The sequence below is a fragment of the Homo sapiens genome, chromosome 7 (genome assembly GCF_000001405.40).
Source record: "Homo sapiens chromosome 7, GRCh38.p14 Primary Assembly".
In the NCBI taxonomy this organism is placed as follows: Eukaryota; Metazoa; Chordata; class Mammalia; order Primates; family Hominidae; genus Homo; species Homo sapiens.
Genome location: NC_000007.14, coordinates 22,239,205 through 22,258,760, shown reverse-complemented (window position 1 = coordinate 22,258,760; position 19,556 = coordinate 22,239,205). Strand labels below are relative to the sequence as shown.

The window sequence follows — 19,556 nt, the reverse complement described above, 5'->3', positions numbered from 1 at the left end:
GACAGTCTTTTCCCTATTATATTGCCTTTGCTCCTTGTCAAAGATCAATTGACTATATTTGGGTCTATTTATGGGCTCTCTATTCTGTTCCATTGATCTATTTGTCTATTCTTTTTTTTTTTTTTTTTTTTTTTTTGAGACGGAGTTTCGCTCTTGTTGCCCAGGCTGGAGTGCAATGGCGCGATCTTGGCTCACCACAACCTCTGCCTCCCCGGTTCAAGTGATTCTCCTGCCTCAGCCTCCTGAGTAGCTGGGATTGCAGGCATGCAGGTGCCACCATGCCCAGCTAATTTTGTATTTTTAGTAGAGACAGGGTTTCTCCATGTTGGTCAGGCTGGTCTCGAACTCCCAACCTCAGGTGATTTGCCTGCCTCGGCCTCCCAAAGTGCTGGGATTACAGGCGTGAGCCACCGTACCTGGCCTGTTTGTCTATTCTTTCAACAATACCACACTGTCTTGATTGCTGTACCTTTACGTTAAGTATTGAAATTGGGTAGTGTCTGCCTTCCAACTTTGTTCTTCGCTTTCAATCTTGTGTTGACTATTCTCAGTTTTTTCTCTCTCCATAAAAACTTCAGAATCAGTTTATCTGTATCTACATCTATTATCTCTTCTAGTTGGCTCTTTTTTTGTTGTATGAGAATTTTCGATTTTGTGTCCCTTAAAATTGTTGAACTCCAATGAGTTCTAATAGCTTCCTTAAAAATTATCTTGGATTTTCCACATGGACAAATTCATCATCTGTCAATGATGACTGTTTTGTCTATGTTTACCAATGCATATAATTCCTTTTTTCCCATATTATAATATTTCATTAGAGCCTTGCAGTATAAGTTTGAATAATATCAATGATAGTTGTCATTCTTATTTTGCCCCTGACTTTAATTAAATATAATGTTTTCTGATTAGAAGAGCAATATAAATGAAGAAGATTGTATTAGGAAAAAACAAAGACATTTCTTTCTTACAACCCCTCCCCACCCTGAACTACAATACATTTGGGAAACAATCTAGGGGTAAAAATAACCAACAAGATATATATTACTGTATTCAAAGAATTCAAATATGGAAATATTAGAGATACCTGACTGATTCACTGTGCATTCTCAATGCTTGAGTTGGCATTGAGTGTGGATGTGAAGGAACAATGGCAAGGTACAAAAGAGCCTAAGTCATAGGTATTGTATTCATTTGTTCCTTTATCAAACCCTAGCTGGGCACAAACTATAAGCTGAATGCAGTGTAAGACACAGGATACAATAGTGAGCAAGGACAAGTATGGCCCCTGCTGTTTTAAAATCATAGCATATGTTTCATAAATAGAATGCATTAATGAGTCAGTGACTGTCAGAGAAAGGTAAACTTCTTATTGTGATTTTAGGAGGTGATCAAACGCAGAACCATTAAGCATGGCCTTAATTAAGTAGAGTTCCAGCTGCAGAATGGTGTTTTCTATGTATGCTTCTTATTTTTAAAACTATTGAATACTTTTTAAAGGAGAAGAAAAATAAGCTAATATACATCAAATAAAAAAGTATTTAAAATGATAGCTGGCACATCTGGAGCTTGACAGAAGGAATTGATTACCCTACTATCTTATGTCTTGTAGTAAAACTGTTAATTAGGGCACAGGTGGTCCTGCCGGATTTCTGTCTAACTGCAAGAGGTTATTAAAATGAGCATTAATGTAAAAAATTTTTAGTTTCAGCCCACTGTACAAACAGAAATAAAAGTAACTGCCAATCAGTGTAGGTTTTATGAATAATTAAAGGCTGTAAGCTTAGTAAAAAATCTATTTGTTGTAATTTTCTAAAAGGCCATTAGGATGTGCCTTTGAACAGTTTTCTACCCTAAGAGCGAACCTTAGTGGATGTGAATAGCATTTTAAGGCTTCATAAGATTTGCAGAAATTTGCACAGATATCCTTGCACTTCTTTCTCGTTGTTGGATTGCTTATTCTCCTGCTAATGTTGGCTCATTAGTGTCTTGGGAGATGTGTTACTTCCCTTTTCCAGGGAATCCAAAGCACTTTTAGCTCTCATTATCTTTAGATCATATGAAATTTGTGCCATGGTGGGCTTCTATTTCTGGAAAGCCAGAAATCTCATAGTGGTAAATCTCCTTGGCAGTGTTTAAATTTCACTCTCTGTCCTTAGCCCATAGCTAGTTAAGTGTTTTAAAACTAAAGTATCTGGGATTTTAAAGTTTGAAAAGGAAAGAAGGACCTCCAGGCTCTGTTTTATTTTTGTCATTACGTGTCTTTGCGACCTCGGCTTTGTGATTTCAATTTGTATCTTGCAGGGGCTGGCGTAAAATTTGGTAACCTCAGTGATTCCTTCCAGCTCTAATATTTAAAAATCCTGTTCTAACAATGTTTTCACTTTTTACATTCATTCACCTCAGTCACAACCTTGGGACTATTTTATTCAGGATTATTTTAGGTGCATGTGACAGAAAAACTAACTGAAAACCAAAAAGGGAATTTTTTGCCTCAAGGACTCTGTAGAGTTTAACAGTCTCAGCGAGGGATTGTCCTGATAGCCCCAAAAGAAGCTTTGCTAAGCGATCTTGTTGGAAGGATGAAGTGCCCACCTCTGGAGCAGCAGGAGAATGGCAGGGGGAAGTAGACAGGTCAAGTCAACCCCACACAAGCAAAATACATGGCTCTACAAAGAACACCAGCAGAGGGGAGAATGGCTGCTGGGCAGGCAAGAGTAATGTGATCACCCCAGAAGGAATTGTTTGCACTGTCTCAATCACAAGATTTAGAGAGGAGGTGCCACCCTGAGACTCACACAGGCTAGAAAGTCTGCAGGCAGAATGCAGACTCAGGTTTTCCAACACCTGGTCTCTGGCATTTCCAGCCACACTCCCACTCTTGATTAGTAATTTTCAAGATAATGAGAGTAAATATGTAACTTGTGAAAAGGCATTCTTATTCTGCTTTTGTTCCTGGAAATTGAAAGGAATGAATTGAAAACTCATAAACTCTTCAAGTTGTGGGTAATAACATTTTTTCTCTCTTTCTAGGATAAACCAGCCAGGAATTCAGGTTAAAGTGTTCTTCATGTACCAAAATATTTTACTAAGATATTACAATATATATGATATATCAAAGTGTATAAAATGGTTTAGCCTATTGTGTTTTTGGTTTTGGTTTTGGTTTTGTTTTGAGACAGTCTCATTCTGTCACCCAGGCTGGGGTGCAGTGGTGTGATCATGGCTCACTGCAATCTACCTCCCAGAGTCAGGTGATCCTCCCACCTCAGCCTCCCAAGTCACTGGGACTACAGTCATGTGCCACCATGCCCAGATAATTTTTAATTTTTTTTTTGGTAGAAATAGGGTCTTGCTATGTTGCCCAGGCTGGTCTCAAGCTCCTGGGCTCAAGCAGTCCTCCCGCCTTGACCTCTCAAAGTGCTGGGATTACAGATGTGAGCCATGGTGCCCAGCTAGCTTATTGTGTTTAGCTTTTAAAAACATTATTATTTTTAAGAGGCTAGAACGGATAAGAGAGAAGCCAATGTTTTACGTTAAATTGTTTTTTCTAAGATCATATAGGATACATCTTTGATTCCTATGTTCAAAGAATGTATCCTATATGACCTTATAATCCTGTATTCAAGCTTAAATAGGCATTTGGGGTGGGCATATGGTTTCAACAACCTGCTAACTCTTATTTGCCATGACAGTGAACTCCAGGTAAAACATTCAAGTAGGAAACCCCAGGATCTGGTAATCAAGGTGGACCTGTTAGACTCGGGGTCCCCAATCTCTGGTCGATGGTTTGGTGCCTGTCCGTGGCATATTGGGAACTGGGCTGCACAGTAGGAGGTGAGTGGCAGCAAGCAAGCATTACCCGCTGAGTTCCACCACCTGTCAGATCAGTGGCAGCATTCGATTTTCACAGGTGCGCGACCCCTGTTGTGAACTGCACATGCAAGGGATCTAGGTTGCGTGCTCCTTATGATAATCTAGTGCCTGATGATCTGAGGTGGAACAATTTTATCCCAAAACCATCCCATCTCCCCCTTCCTCTCCAAGTCCATGGAAAAATTGTCTTCCGTGAAACTGGTCCCTGGTGCCAGAAAGGTTGAGGACTGCTCTATGAGACAATCTGAGGGGTTTGATTTTTTTTTTTTTTTTTTTTTTGAGACGGAGTTTTGCTCTTGTCACCCAGGCTGGAGTGCAATGGCGCGATCTCAGCTCACTGCAACCTCTGCCTCCTGAGTTCAAGCGATTCTCCTGCCTCAGCCTCCCAAGTAACTGGGATTACAGGCATGTGTCACCACACCTGGCTAATTTTTTTTTTTCAGTAGAGACGGGGTTTCTCCACCTTGGTCAGGCTGGTCTCAAACATCCCACCTCAGGTGATCCGCCCGCCTCGTCCTCCCAAAGCGCTGGGATTACAGGTGTAAGCCACCATGCCCGGCCTTTTTTTTTTTTCTTTTGATTACCCTTTGTCTAAAGTCCCAGCTTTCCAGATCTACTGTGAGTAACAATCACATCACCAGTAACACGATTTTGGAAAACTTAGAGGTTTTAAGCCCCCTTTTCAAGTATATGTATGTAATATTGGGAGCAGTCACATGTTAGCAGGACTCACCATGCGAGGCATTTGTGAGGTTTGAAACTGGACACCAGTGAAAAGGCATATTCTACTTTGGAGCAGAATATTCCAAAGACAAGATATTCATATTGCTTTGTCACAAGAAATGAAATTGATGATAGAATATTTTTAACAGTATAAATAAGGCTTTCCCTTTTTCATGTGTAGAAGAAAAAAATAACCTTTATACCTGTGGAATAGCTTCTGCTTTTATGGTCTTATAAATTTTTACTTTTTATTTTTAGTTGACAGGTTCTTCTTTTAACGTAGCACCATATTAGACTTTACCTTGATCCTTTGGTAAATACATAGCTAATATTTAGGAGAATGCATGACAAATGGGATTTTAGAATGGATGTTAGTAATAAAATTAGGGTCAGCAAAGACAGGCTGACTTGCTTAATATAATTATTGTCATCTCAGATTTCCTTTACCTTTCTGATAATATGTGTTTAATTTTTTTGGAAGAAATTTAAGTTATCTTAAAAAGCTATAGAGATATTATTTTGAATGCTCTCCTTTTGATCTTCTTTCCATCTAATTGCTGAGTGTTCTAATAAAGAGTGTTTACGCTAAAAAATGCTACGTTATAAGAGGAGTCTGTTGGCTGTATTTAAGTAATTAAAAGTTTATGCTTATTTTTTGGTGGTATTTTCAACCACGTACATTTCCCAAGACTTTCACAGCCTCTCAAAGGATGGACCAGGATCCTCTCAGAATTGATTTTTCCAGATGGTTTGTTTCTGTCCTTTTCTTTTCTTTTGCCACATCCTCGATACTGTGTCCAGCAGCGCCCATCACTCTCATTTCTGGTCAGCACAGGCCAACACCGATTGTCTGATAACCCCGCTGAATGTGTTGTTTAGCATTTGTCAGCCAAGAGGAAAGAAGTGTCATGTGTTTTCCCCTAAAATAATCAACACAACATTCTTGTCTTCCTAATTGATTGATGATTCCTAGGATGTTTTCCCCAAAAGAGAGAGCTTTGCCTAACACCATGCTGATTGTTGAAGTTTGTAAAATCTGTCTCCTTCTCCAGTGCTATAATAACTCATTGTTCTAACATTTCCAGAGATCGTTCTTCTGTCCCTGCTTGCTGACAAATTTTGTATATTCACGTCCTGTCTCCACCAGTGCATGTTCTTGTTGAGCAGTGATCAATTCAATGTTTGATGGGTTGTATCTTTCTTTTTTTTTTAAGTGAGATAAAACCATCATAAGAATCTTAAAACAGTAATTCTTAATGCATTGTAAAGTTAAAGCATATTTGAAAATGTAAAATTCTTACAATCAAGAAAGTAATAGCACTGGTAAAGCCCAGGAATAATTGAAAATGCATTCAGCAGATGCTTTGTAAATTTTTTCTAACTCTCCCACTGGGATACAAAGAAAATTGCCTTTAAAAAAAGTCCCATGACACTATCTTTTGTAATTAGAGCTATTAAGTCGAAATGATAAATAACCATTCAATGGCATACTATAAAAGAAAATAGCCCTTTTCACAGATTTCTCCTGATGAGCAGGAGATCTGAGAGTAGTGAGTATAAGAAGTTAGATTCCTTTAACCCTGAGAATTGTTTAGAATTAAGAAAATCAGAAAGCAAGGCAAGATGATTTTCTTTTTAATCCTTCAATATGGTCATGCCCATTAAGATAGTAAATGAAACAGATTTGCCAAGGAGGTGAATAATTATAACTACAGCAGCGCATACTCCAGAATCCAAGGTTTTTGAGGTCTTGGTTTTCAAAAATACTTGGGGCACTTCAGTCAAGCTGTGTAACACTTAGTAGACAAAGCTAATTGAATTGCTGTAAGTGGAAGCTTGTTCCTATTGTAGGGAATTTGATCCTGGGAAGAACTGAACACTGATGGTGCCAGTAAGGTGACGTTGCCCAGAGCAGGTTACTGTCTGGTCTTGTGTGGTCCAGGACAATGATTTTAAGCTCTTCAGAGTCCTACTTCTTCTTGCACATGTTTTATACACATTGCTAAGCCTGGAGAAACAGTTTCCTGAGACATTGAGCAGAGAGGTGGGTGTAAGGCGGGGGAGAGGCATTAAAGAGAGAATCAAGTTTTCTAGTTGAGAGCTAAGAAGCAGCTTCCAGCATTGCAGCTCCTGGGAACATGTTTTTTGTGAGGAAACTAGATGAGCATAATGAGTGTACCCTGTGCATAAATCCAATATTAGTTCTGTACCCAAGGTCAAATGAAAGTTAATGACCATTTACACACCAGAGATCTGAAACCCACATTTTATTTCCTTCTCATAATGACAAAAGGGGAGAGCAATTTATATTTAAATTAATTTAAATTTCAAAGCATAAACACAGAGGTCTCCCTGGCACCTCCACTTTTTTTTTTTTTTTTTTTTTTTTGTCAATGAAACTTCCTGGCAGGGCTCAACTTTCATGAAAATGAAATCCCATCCTATATCATTTTCCCAATGTGGACAGGTTTTTATTTTTTGTGGAACTACCTCATTCTCACCCTGCTGGGTTAGTGATACCAAATCAGAAGTCAGCAGTGCAATCAGGGCCACTTTATTTAATGATTTAGGTTTTGCATTTGTTGAGCTAATTAACTGATTGTGGCAACTAATGGCTGTCCTTAATACACTGTTGACTGGGCAGCTACTCCCCTGAAGCCTGCCAGCTCCTTTGTCCTTGGTTCCCTGGTTAGTGGAAGCTGCTTCCCAGATGAATCTGTGATACATGCCACCCAGCATTCTGAGGCAGGGCCCAAGAGGCCATTATGCTAATTACCAGGTGCCCTAAACAGGACATGCATCCACTTATAACGCTGTATCTGACAAATTCTGTGTATTTGGGTAAATAAAGGTTTGCACTGGAGGGTACGTGAGTGGTTGCTGGGGGGGTGGCATTGTCTATGATTTATTTTTAGAATTTACAATTCTGTGACTGCTTCTCTGTAAGGTACAACATTTTAATATTATTATTGCTTTTGCAATCTGTAGATGTTTTAAAATATTAAATATTAAAATATTTGAGGAAATATTAGGAGATCACATAATTAAACAGAAAACTTTAATGGCTAAAATCATGTCTCTTATATACTAAAATATTCCTTAAGAAGAAAAATCCTTGCCATATGCTATTCTTATAGAGTTATGAAATTCTGTGGAAAACATGGGCTTCTACCAAAATTTAGCAGTTCTGGGGGTGTGGCCAGGAAATTTGACTCCTACACTGGGTGTGTTCCCCCTGATTAATCACTGTCTTTTTTCAGCCTCAGTTTCCATTCTTTTATAAAATGCAGAGGTAGGCTTGGTCGATGACTAGAGTACCATGCTGGAGGTCATGTCCTAAGTACCAAGTACTAGGAAGCTCCCCTTCTCTCAATTATACATTGCTGTCTATTCCACAAGAATATGAGAATAATAATTACTAATCATTTATTTTCCTTCCTAAACTTTTTTCATTTTATCGACTTTTTTCCTAGTAAAAATCTACTGAAGGCCTTTTTTTCCCCCCGGGGACATTTTCTTCTGTCATTTGTATTGACAAGTAAGAGCTATCAAGGGAAATCTTTGTCCTGGCCGTATGACCCAGCTAGTGTCCATCCTTCGTCACATTAAAAGTCTAATTGGATAAACAGACATGCAAATGGAACTGTTCTCAGTAAAACTGGAAATGACATGAACATGGTATGTGAAGAAAAGTAAATAATATTCCATAGTAAGTGATGCAAAGTGCATAATTTGCTTCAGCTGAATTCCACCAGGATAAGTGATGCTTATGACAAAAGTGAAATTTATATACTATTCTTTTCACTCATGTAATAAAAAATACTTAACACTTGAGAGTTTCTAAATCAGACATTGTCTTTTTAAGCAGATAAGCAAGCCCTGGTTCTAGCTATTTGCATTTTTCAGATAGGTTATAAAAATACTGTATTTTAAATACTGTCATATAGTGATTAAGATTTGTTTTGGGGATAAGATTAGTGATAGACATTTTCACCCTGGAGTCAATGAAGGCACGTACAATGAAGGCATGTACAATTTCAGCTTAAGTGGTACATTTTATTGTTAAGTGTTTTTGTTTGGAGATAAGGAACCATAGATAGATAGATACTTTGTAAAATAATCCTAGGTCCCTTTCTGATAGCCGCATCAAAGTCCCCCCTTGACTAAATAAAATTGTGTTTTTTCTAAAGCAGTGGTCGTCAAATTTAATTTGCATAGCAGTTACCTGCAGCACTTTTTAATAGTGCTAATTCCTGGGCTGTACCTCATGGGGCTTTATTTAAGTATAGACTGAGGCCCTGACATCTAGATTTTAACCAGCCGTTAGCCCTCAGTGATTCAGATGCCAGACTTTGACAATCACATTCAAAAGTCTGTATGACCCGCAGAGTTAGGGAATGAGCTGGTGTTTTATAAACGGTGTTTGGTGGTCTAAGAAACCAGTCACCATAGAATAAAACATATATGTTATAGTTCTGCGACTACCTTATTTATTGGAGAATTGCCTAACTTTCTGTGTTTCTCTACCAGTGAAAGCTTTATAAAAGGAGAATTATTACCAAGCTTTGTTTGGTGGAGAGTCAGGAATAAGCAAATATTCTAACTAAAGTTTCTATACTAAACTTGTCAAGGCTTTTCTTTTTTTTGAGCGGATTTGCACTAGTTTAAAGGATAAGGTGGGGTGCAGTGGCTCATGCCTATAATCCCAGCACTTTGGGAAGCCGAGGTGGAGAGATCACTTGAGGTCAGGGGTTTGAGACCAGCCTGGCCAACATAATGAAGCCCCACCTCTACCAAAAAAAATACAAAAATTAGCCAAGCATGATGGTGCATGCCTGTAGCTACTCAGGAGGCTGAGGTGGGAGAATTGCTTGAAACCTGGGACGCTGAGGTTGCAGTGAGCCAAGATCGCACCACTGCACTTCAGCCTGGGTGGCAGAGTGAGATTCCATCTTAAAAAACAAAACAAAACAAAAAGGGTAAATAACTTTAAGCCTGGCTCCAATTAAGTGTATCTGAACTAAGCCATATCCTCGTAAACTGTGTGCAGGTCCCAAGGGCTTGTCTGGTTCTCCTTTTGCCAAGAAGTAGCTAACTTTCATTAAATAAAAATGAAGCATTTGCTTTAAGACTTATTAAAATCAGTTGAGGAAGTTTACACCTTATCCTGTTATTGTTTTCTGGTAGAAGAATGACTGTGAGAAATTTCAGTTGAGGTTGTCTTTGTAGGCTTAGGAATAGATGGTAGTATTTAGAAATGTTGCCGATTTTCTTCCACCCTGGCTACAATAGGGAGCAAAGCATGACCCATACAATTTGCCATCTTACTTTTATAGGTTCTAGTCTTCTTCACTTTGATTTTTAGTATTGTTTTAGCATGTTTAAAAGGCTCATTTCCTACCTCCTAGTTCCGGAGGTAGAACTAAGTGCAAGTTCTTCCCCTCTGTGTGAGAGGCCTTACAGAGCAGACACGCGTTTATCACTTATGCCTAAGAAAGCAAGCTTCCCTGCGCTGCTGGGGATTAGTGAGGAAGGTTAAGGAAATAGGAGATTATCAATAATCTCTGGCTAGGAATACTTCTTGCTGACAGTGGAGGAGTTGGGGGCATTGTCCCAGCAGCCTGTGGTCCTCAGGGAAGTGGTGTGTCCATCTGGTCTGGTTAGGGAAGGGGCAGATTCCATCACTGGGCCTCACAAGTATTACAGCAACACACCCAGTCTGGAAGTTTGGACATCGGGCACCTCACATCTCTAGTTCTCAGCTTCATCACTGAAACTAACCCAAGACTTAGAATTCAAGCTTAGCATTTGCACCTAAATCCAAGTTAGTTGAAGTTGATATGTTTTGTTTATAACAGGCCTCCATGAGTCAACTAATTTCGTGGTTAGCCTTGTAACCAAATGGACAGTGTCATCAAAAGATCACATTTGTTGGAATGATCCGGGCCCCTCTAAGGGAATTTTTCTAGGGCCTACTCTAGCACAGGGTTTTTGTTTTTTGTTTCTTTTTACTTTGATGATTTTAAAAAAAAATTTCAACTTTAATTTTAGAGTCAAAGGGTACACGTGCAGGTTTTTTACCTAGGTATATTGCGTGATGCTAAGGTTTGGGGTATGCATGATCCCGTCACCCAGGTACTGAGCATGGTACGTAATAGTTTTTCGGCCCTTGCCCTCCCTCTTTCCCTCATCCAGTAGTCTACAGTGTCTATTGTTGCCATCTTTTTGTCCATAAGTACCCATTGTTTAGCTCCCACTTATAAGTAAGAACATGCAGTATTTGGTTTTCTGTTCCTGCGTTAATTCACGTAGTATAATGGCCTCCAGCTGCAACCATATTGCTACAAAGGACATTATTTCATTATTTTTATGGCTGCATAGTATTTCATGGTATATATGTACCATTTTTTTTTTTATCCAGTCCACCATTAATGGGTCTCTAGGTTGGTTTTATTTATATTAGTGCATTTTCATACTGCTATGAAGAAATACCCTAGACAGGGTAATTTATAAAGAAAAAGAGGATTAATGGACTCACAGTTCCACATGAATGGGGAGGACTCACAGTTCCACATGAATGGGGAGGCCTCACAATCATGGCAGAAGGTGAAGGAGAAGCAAATGCATGTCCTAGATGGCAGCAGGCAAGAGAGTGTGTGTGGGAACTGCCCTTTATAAAACCATCAGATCTCTTGAGACTTATTTACTGTCACAAACAACAGCACATGAAAAACCCACCTCCATGATTTAGTTACCTCCTTCTGGGTCTCTCCCATGACACGAGGGGATTATGGGAGCTACAATTCAAGATGAGATTTGGGTGGGGATGCAGCAAAACCGCATCACCATGTCTTTGCTATTGTGAATACTGCTGCAGTAAACATATGAGTGCATGTGTCTTTTTGGCAGAACGATTTATTTTCTTTTGGAAATATACCCAGTAATGGGATTGCTGGGTCAAATGGTAGTTCTATTTTAAGTTCTTTGAGAAGTCTTCAAACTGCTTTCCACAGTGGCTGAACTAATTTGTATTCTCACCAACAGTGTACAAGCATTCCCTTTTCTCTGCAGTCTTGCCAGCATCTGTTGTCTTTTGACTTTTTAGTAATAGCCATTCTGACTGGTGTCAGATGATAACTCATTGGAGTTTTGATTTACATTTCTTGGATGATTAGTGATGTTGAGCATTTCTTCATATGTTTATTGGCTGCTTGTGTGTCTTCTTTTGAAAAGTGTCTGTTCACGTATTTTGCTCATTTTTTAATGGGGTTGTTTTGTTTTTCCTGTTCAATTGTTTAAGTTCCTTATAGATTCTGGATATTAGACCTTTGTCAGATGCACTGTTTGCAAATATTTTCCCCCATGTTGTAGTTTGTCTCTTTACTCTGTTGATAATTTATTTTGCTGTCCAGAAACTCTTTAGTTTAATTAGGTCCCACTTGTCAGTTTTTGTTTTTGCTGCAATTGCTTTTGAAGGCCTAGTAATAATTTTTTTTTGCCAAGGCTAATGTCCACAATGGTGCTTCCCAGGTTTTCTTCTAGTATTCTTATAGTTTGACGTCTTACATTTAAATCTTTAATCAATCTTGTTGGTTTTTATAAATGGTAAAAGGTAGGGGTATATTTCATTCTTTTGTATATTGGCTAGGCAGTTATCCCAGCACCATTCATTGAATAGGGAGTCCTTTCCCCATTGCTTATTTTTGTTGATTTTGTCAGAGATCAGATGGGTGTAGGTGTGCAGCTTTATTTCTAGGTTATCTATTCTGTTCCATTGGTCTTTGTGTCTATTTTTGTAACAGTACCATGCTGTTTTGGTAACTGTAGCCTTATAATATAGTTTGAAGTCAGTGAATATGATGGCTTCTGGCTTTGTTCCTTTTGCTTAGGATTGCTTTGGCTATTTGGGCTCTTTTTTTATTCCATATGAATTTTAGAATAGTTTTTTCTAGTTCTGTGAAAAATGACAATGGTAGCTTGATAGGAATGGCACTGCATCTGTAGATTGCTTTGGGCAGTATGGCCATTTTAACGATATTCATTCTTCCAATCCATGTTTTTCCATTTTTGTGTGTGTGTGTGTCATCTATGATTTCTTTCAGCAGTGTTCTGTAGTTGTCCTTGTAGATACCTTTCACCTCTCTAGTTAGATGTATTCCTAGGTATTTTGTTTTTTGTGTGGCTGTTGTAAATTTGATTGTGTTCTTGATTTGGCGCTCTTCCTGAACATTATTGGTGTATAGAAATGCTACTGTTTTATGTACATCAATTTTGTAGCCTGAAACTCCACTGAAGCCACTTATCAGTCCCAGGAGCCTTTGAGATTTTCTAGGTATAGAATCGTATCAGTGAAGAGAGATAGTTTTCCTAATTGGATGCCTTTTATTTCTTTCTCTTTCCTGATTGCTTGGCATGGGCTTCCAGTACTATCTTGAATAAGAGTGTGTTATGTTGATATTTTAAGAAGAAAGCCAAATAGTTGAAGTAGCCTATGGTTTTCTCAGTTTATGTGGAAATTCAAAATACATGTACTTTTATTTATTTGAGAGGAAATATGGCTTAGTGCCTTCAACATGGACTTGAAAAATATACAAAATGGGCAGTCTTTAATTGGTGCTGGGAAACTGGATATCCTCAAGCAGAAGAATGAAATTGGACCCCCTATCTCACACCATATACAAAAACAAATGAAAAATAGATTAAAGACTTAAATGTGTGAATTTACACTGTACACTTCTAGAAGAAAACATAGGGGGAAATCTGTATAACATTGGTCTAGACAATGATTTTTGTGGAAATGACCCCAAAAGCACAAGCAATAAAAGCGAAAAAAGACAAATGAGATTACATCAAACTAAGAAGCTTCTGCACAAGAAAGGGAGTAATTAACAGAATGAAGAGACAACACGCAGAGTGGTAAAAATTATTTATAAACCACACATTTGATAAGGTGTTAATAGCCAACATATATAAAGAATTGAAACAACATGATAGGAAGAAAACCTGATTTTAAAATGGCCAAAGAACTTAAATAGACATTTGTCAAAGATATACAAATAGCCAACAGGTTCCTGCAAAAAGTGGTCAATATTACTATTCATGAGAGAAATGCAAATTAAAATCACAGTCAGCTATCACCTGCTACTTGTTAGAATGGCTATTAGCAAAAAGATGAAAGATAAGTATTGACGAGGATATGAAGAAAAGATAATCCTTGTACTTTGCTGGTGGAAATGTAAATTAGTACAGCCATACCACAATATGGAGTTTCCTCAAAAAACTAGAAATGTAATTACCATATGACCTAGCAATCCTACTTCAGGTATCTATTCAAAAGAATTGAAATTAGTATGTTGAAGAGATATCTGCACTCTCATTTTAATTTCAGCAGCGGTCGCCTACCATTTTGGCACCAGGGACCTGTTTCATGGGAGACAGTTTTTCTACGGACTGGGGTAGGGGGATGGTTTCAGGATGATTCAAGCACATTATTTACTGTGCACTTTATTATTATTACATTGTAATATATAATGAAATAATTATACAACTCACCATAATGTAGAATCAGTGGAAGACCTGAGCTTGTTTTCCTGCAACTAGATGATTCCATCTGGGGGTGATGGGAGACAGTGACAAATCACTGGGCATTAGATTTTCACAAGGAGCATGCAACCTAGATCACATGTGCAGTTCACAATAGGGTTCACGCTTCTGTGAGAATCTAATGCCGCTACTGATCCGACAGGAGGTAGAGCTCAGGCGGTAATGTTCACTCACCCACCGCTCACCTCCTGCTGTGTGGCCTGGTTCCTAACAGGCCATGGATCAGCACCAGTCCGTGGCGTGGGGGTTGAAGACTTCTGCATTACGGTATTCACAATTGCTGAGATATGGAATCAACGGAAGTGTCCATCAACAGATGAATGAATAAAATATGGTGTGTGTATATATATATGTATATACACACACACGTATATGTGTATATATGTATATATACACACACACAATAGAATACTATTCAGTCTTGAAAAAGAAGGAAATAATGTCATTTGCAACAACATGGATAAACTTGGAGGACATTTTGCTAAGTGAAATAAGCCAGGCACAGAAAGAGAAATACTACATGATCTCACTTACGTGTGGGAACCTTAGAAAGTGGAACTTAGAAAGTAGAACTTACGGAAGTAGAGAGTAGAAAGGTAGTAACCACAGGCTTGGCGGGTAGCAGTAGGAGAGGACTGGGGAGATGTTGACCAAAGGGTACAAAATTTCAGTTAGATAGGAGGACTAACTTTTCCATATCGATTGCACAGCACGGTGACTATAGTTAATAATAATGTAGTATCTATTTCAAAATTACTAAAAGAATAGATTCTCAATGTTTTCACTGTAAAAAAATGATAAGTATGGAAGGTGATGGATATGTTAGTTTGATATGATCACTTGACAATGTATACATAGTCATTCTAAAATCATTCCACAATGTATGCATACATCAAAGCATCCTATTGTATCCCATAAATATATACAACTCTTATTTGTCAATTAAAAATTAAAACTTAAGAAATAGATTGGGCTGATAACTAATGCTCTATCAGCATTTTTTTTTGGCTGAGCACAGTGGCTCATGCCTGTAATCCTAGCACTTTGGGAGGCCGAGACGGGTGGATCACCTGAGGTCAGGCGTTCAAGACCAGCCTGGCCAACATGGTGAAACCCCATCTCTATTAAAATACAAAAATTAGCTGGGCATGATGGTGGGTGCCTGTAATCCCAGCTACTCGGGAGGCTGATTTGGGACAATCACTTGAATCCGGGAGACAGTGGTTGCAGTGAGCTGAGATCGCACCACTGTACTCCAGCCTGGGTGGCTGAGTCAGACTCTGTCTCAAGAACAAAACAAAAACAAACAAACAAAAAAAACTTTTTTATCCCCAAATATATTTTGGCTTAGTTTCGTTATTTGACAGTCTTATGAGATTGCTTTCTTTTGTGAGCCGTAAGTACTTACATTGATATTCAAAAATGGTAATATAGAGGCTTTCAGAATTATTAACTGCACTGAAATGTAGAGGGGAAATGCTATGTTCTTTATTTTTGACAGTGGCTCTGTGGTCCTTACAAGTTGCTACCCACTGTCACTGAGCAATATTGTAGTTGTTTCTGATTTGAACTCTTGTTTCTTTCTTTCTTTCTTTCTTTTTTTTTTTTTTTTTTGAGACGGAGTTTCACTCTTGTTGCCTAGGTTGGAGTGCAATGGCGTGATCTTGGCTCACCGCAACCTCTGCCTCCTGGATTCAAGTGATTCTCCTGCAAGTGATTCTCCTGCCTCAGCCTCCCAAATAGCAACCATGCCCGGCCAGTTTTGTAGTTTTAGTAGAGATGGAGTTTCTCCATGTTGGTCAGGCTGGTCTCGAACTCCTGTCCTCAGGTGATCCGCCTGCCTCGGCCTCCCAAAGTGCTAGGATTACAGGCGTGAGCCACCGCGCCCAGCAATTTGAACTCTTTTCATAATGAAAAGTCTGTTTAAGATGTAGCTGCTTCCTGGGGCTGGTTTCAGTCCCCACTTTTGGATCGCTCATTCCCTGGCATGCAGGGATTGTTGGAGCCACATGGACCATGCCAGTCACTCTGCCCTAGTGAATTCGAGTGGTGACCAGGGGCCCTTCTCAGCTGGGTCAGGGTCTCTAGGCCTTTCTGGCTGCCCCACCCCATATTGGCAGAACTTAAACCCTATGGCCTCCCTGCCACATGCTCCATCCAGACCTTTGCCTTTTGTAAGGGGAGGCTCCATAGCAAGTCCCTATCCCCAGGGCATGTGGAAACTGCTAAGTGCTAGGAACCTTCCCATCCTGGGAAAGAAGAGCTACTCAGGAAAAATAGCTGCTGACTTGCTGTGACTCTGCTGACTTCCAGAGGTGCTGGGGGCAGACTTTGGGGCAGTCTTCTCTGTGTGCCAAGACTGATCTGTGTGCAAACCAGCACCCCTGCCCACAGTTTACCCTCGGCCATCTCTCTGGCCTCACCCTCTCAGACCTAGCCCAGCCAAGGGAGATCAGGCCCATAGCTTTTTACCTGCCCTTTCTGTTGCCTTGTCACCCTTCTTCCCACAGTCTACTTGATGCAATATGGGGACAGCCTTGAACTTTTCCAACCTGTCACTTCCTGACTTCCTCCTTTAGGGGAGGAGCCTGCAACTTAGCATCGCAGGAGAGAAGGTCAAGATCTGGGACTTAAAGAGTTGGTTCATGATATGCAAAGAAAGGTAACAGAATCTCTACAGATTCTGCCATTTCAAGTCTGTTGTCTTGCCACAAAGTTCTGCTTTGGGTGTTGGAATATAAATATTAATGACTTTGTTTTTATATTCCTTATCTTCCACTCTACCCCAGTGGCAGGTGGGTCTGACGAGGAAAACCATCCCATCCACAGATAACAATGCAAAAAAGCATATCACCATGTTTTGTATAATAATATAAAGTCACTAACATTGATTAAGTAGTTTAAATCCATCCCTCCTTCCACACATCCATCCCATAGGTTTTTATCATCTCCCGTTTACAAGTAATGAAATTGAAACTTGGTGAGTTGATGTAATTTCACAAACAATTGTACAAGAAGTATTGTAGGAATAATGCTTTATTTTTCCCTAATGTATAATAAAAGGAAGTTCCTTTAAATTCTAGCAGGATAGGTTTTGATGGGGGTTAAGGCAAATTTTCCAGTCTTATTTCCTGGACTTATCTTGGACTGCCCCTGCCCCCTCTATTTATTTAGTGGCTCATTTGGTGTCACTGCTTGTATTTGCAAACACAAGGACACCTGGGGAATTCTTGGTGGCTCCACTGTATGTTTTAAAATTCCACTGTAATGTCTACTGGGAAGATTTGGCAGTAAAATTACTGACAATTCAGAAACAAAAAAACTTAATGAGCATAATATAAGTGGCAAAAAGTTGCAATAAATGTTTTAAAATGTAGATGTCTGCAATAAACTTTAGTTAACAAGAATGTCCTTTAGACCTGACCTGTTGAGTTTTCTGGTTTACAATCCCCATGGCAGCATCAAGTAGCTGTGAAAAGCAAATCAAAAGACTCAGGTTCAGTCCTGGCTTAGCCACTTGGCATGACTTAGTGACTTCTAGAGGCTCATTTTCTTATTCTGGACAATGGAGCTAATGGCACATGCTTCTGGGGCTTGTTGGAGGGGCTAAATGAGATGGCCTAAAGCACACAGAGCTTTGTACTGACACATAGGTAGGCTCAGAGTTGTTTTTCTTTTGCTGGCTGAAATAAATCTTTTACAATTTAATTTCTGAGAGAAATTGTGTAGAGTATTGGAGTACACTAGGATCTTTTTAAGTGAATGAACATTTTGCAATATCTAGGAATCGTTGCTGCTCAATATTTTACTGTGTGATGATAGCAGATTGACCTGAATCTGTATTGTCACTAGAACACAACATTGAAAGGCACAAAAAAAAAGTAAAGCTGGCTAGTCATGGTGGCTCACTCCTGTAATCCCAGCACTTTGAGAGGCTGAGGCAGGCGGATCACTTGAGGTCAGGAGTCCAAGACCAGCCTGGCCAACATGGTGAAACCCTGTCTCTACTAAAAATACAAAAAATTAGCCGAGCATGGTGGTGGGCACCTGTAATCCCAGCTACTTGGGAGGCTGAGGCAGGAGAATGGCTTGAACCCGGGAGGTGGAGGTTACAGTGAGCCGAGATGGCGCCACTGCATGCCAGCCTGCGTGATAGAGCAAGATTCTGTCTCAAAAAACAAACAACCGAAAAAAGTAAAGCCTTTCTGCCTCTCGAGAAAAATATTGAAAAAAAAAAAACCCAAACCTGTTGCTAAGGTTAACTTGATTTTTGTTTATCAAGGTTTTATTTTAGTTGGATAATACACAAGCCACCTTTGCATTAAAAGAAAACTTTTTTTTTTTTTTTTTTTGAGGTGGAGTCTTGCTCTGATGCCCAGGGTGGAGTGCAGTGGCGTGATTTTGGCTCACTGCAACCTCTGCTTCCCAGGTTCAAGTGATTCTCCTGCCTCAGCTTCCTGAGTAGCTGGGATTATAGGCACTCGCCACCACTCCTGGCTAATTTTTTGTATTTTTAGTAGAGACGGGGTTTTGCCATGTTGGGCAGGCTGGTCTCGAACTCTTGACCTCAGGTGATCCGCCCGCCTCGGCCTCCCAAAGTGCTGGGATTACAGGCATGAGCCACCACACCCGGCCAAAAAAAAACCTTTTTTCCAGTACATTTCCTTATAAGAATGGCAATGAAACGGGCTACTGGTATCAATTACTGATTACCTCTGTATTACCCCAAGCCAGTGGGATAAGTATTTATGCTCTAATTAAAGGAACCGATATGAGATACCTTTTGCTCTAACGACATTATCATTGTTTTCTGTTGAATAACTTTTCCATTGAATGGACGTATATTAAATCTTAATCAAAAGAAAACACTGTAAAAACCTATTAAGAAGTAGAAGAGAAGCTTGGAGAGTCTTAGCTATTAAAAAAAAAAAGATGTAAGAGTTGAAATGGAGTCCTCTCTGCTGTAGGGCAGGGATAAATCATGCAATCAGTAAGGCAGCAGGGAGGGTGGAGCGAGGCCACCCAGAACTCTCTCAGTGGCTTGAGTTGCCCCTTGTCAAGTGTGCTGAGCATGGAGTATCTGATGGGGGAGATGGGAGCTTTTCAGCCACCTCTGCTTTCAGTCTCCCCACAGTAGATTTATTGGGCTGTCTGAGTGCTATGGCTTTCCCGAACATACAGCACACCTTTATTCAAACGTTAATAAAAATAATACATTTCTTTCATGTAGCAAACATTTATTATCTTTTTCTATAGAACCATGGGCTGGAAGGCCTAGGGAGGATTTGGGGGGAAGGCAATGGGTAGGAACACTTAAAATTGTGTAAGTCATTACGGCCTTAATGACATTGCTGCCA

The 19,556-nt window shown here is 39.5% G+C and overlaps 1 protein-coding gene across 2 annotated transcripts in view, besides 1 other annotated feature; it reads left to right on the top strand.

The window, feature by feature from the left end:
• Positions 1 to 19,556, top strand: part of RAPGEF5 (Rap guanine nucleotide exchange factor 5) — a 238,919-nt gene that overhangs the window by 98,394 nt on the left and 120,969 nt on the right. The gene's annotated exons all lie outside the window — the stretch shown is intronic.
• Positions 16,045 to 16,545: an enhancer, noted in NCBI's record as "H3K27ac hESC enhancer chr7:22281835-22282335 (GRCh37/hg19 assembly coordinates)". NCBI's record gives its function as "activates a minimal SCP1, AML or CMV promoter by ChIP-STARR-seq in primed H9 embryonic stem cells {active_cell/tissue: H9 hESC(primed)}" and the evidence as "EXISTENCE:reporter gene assay evidence [ECO:0000049][PMID:30033119]".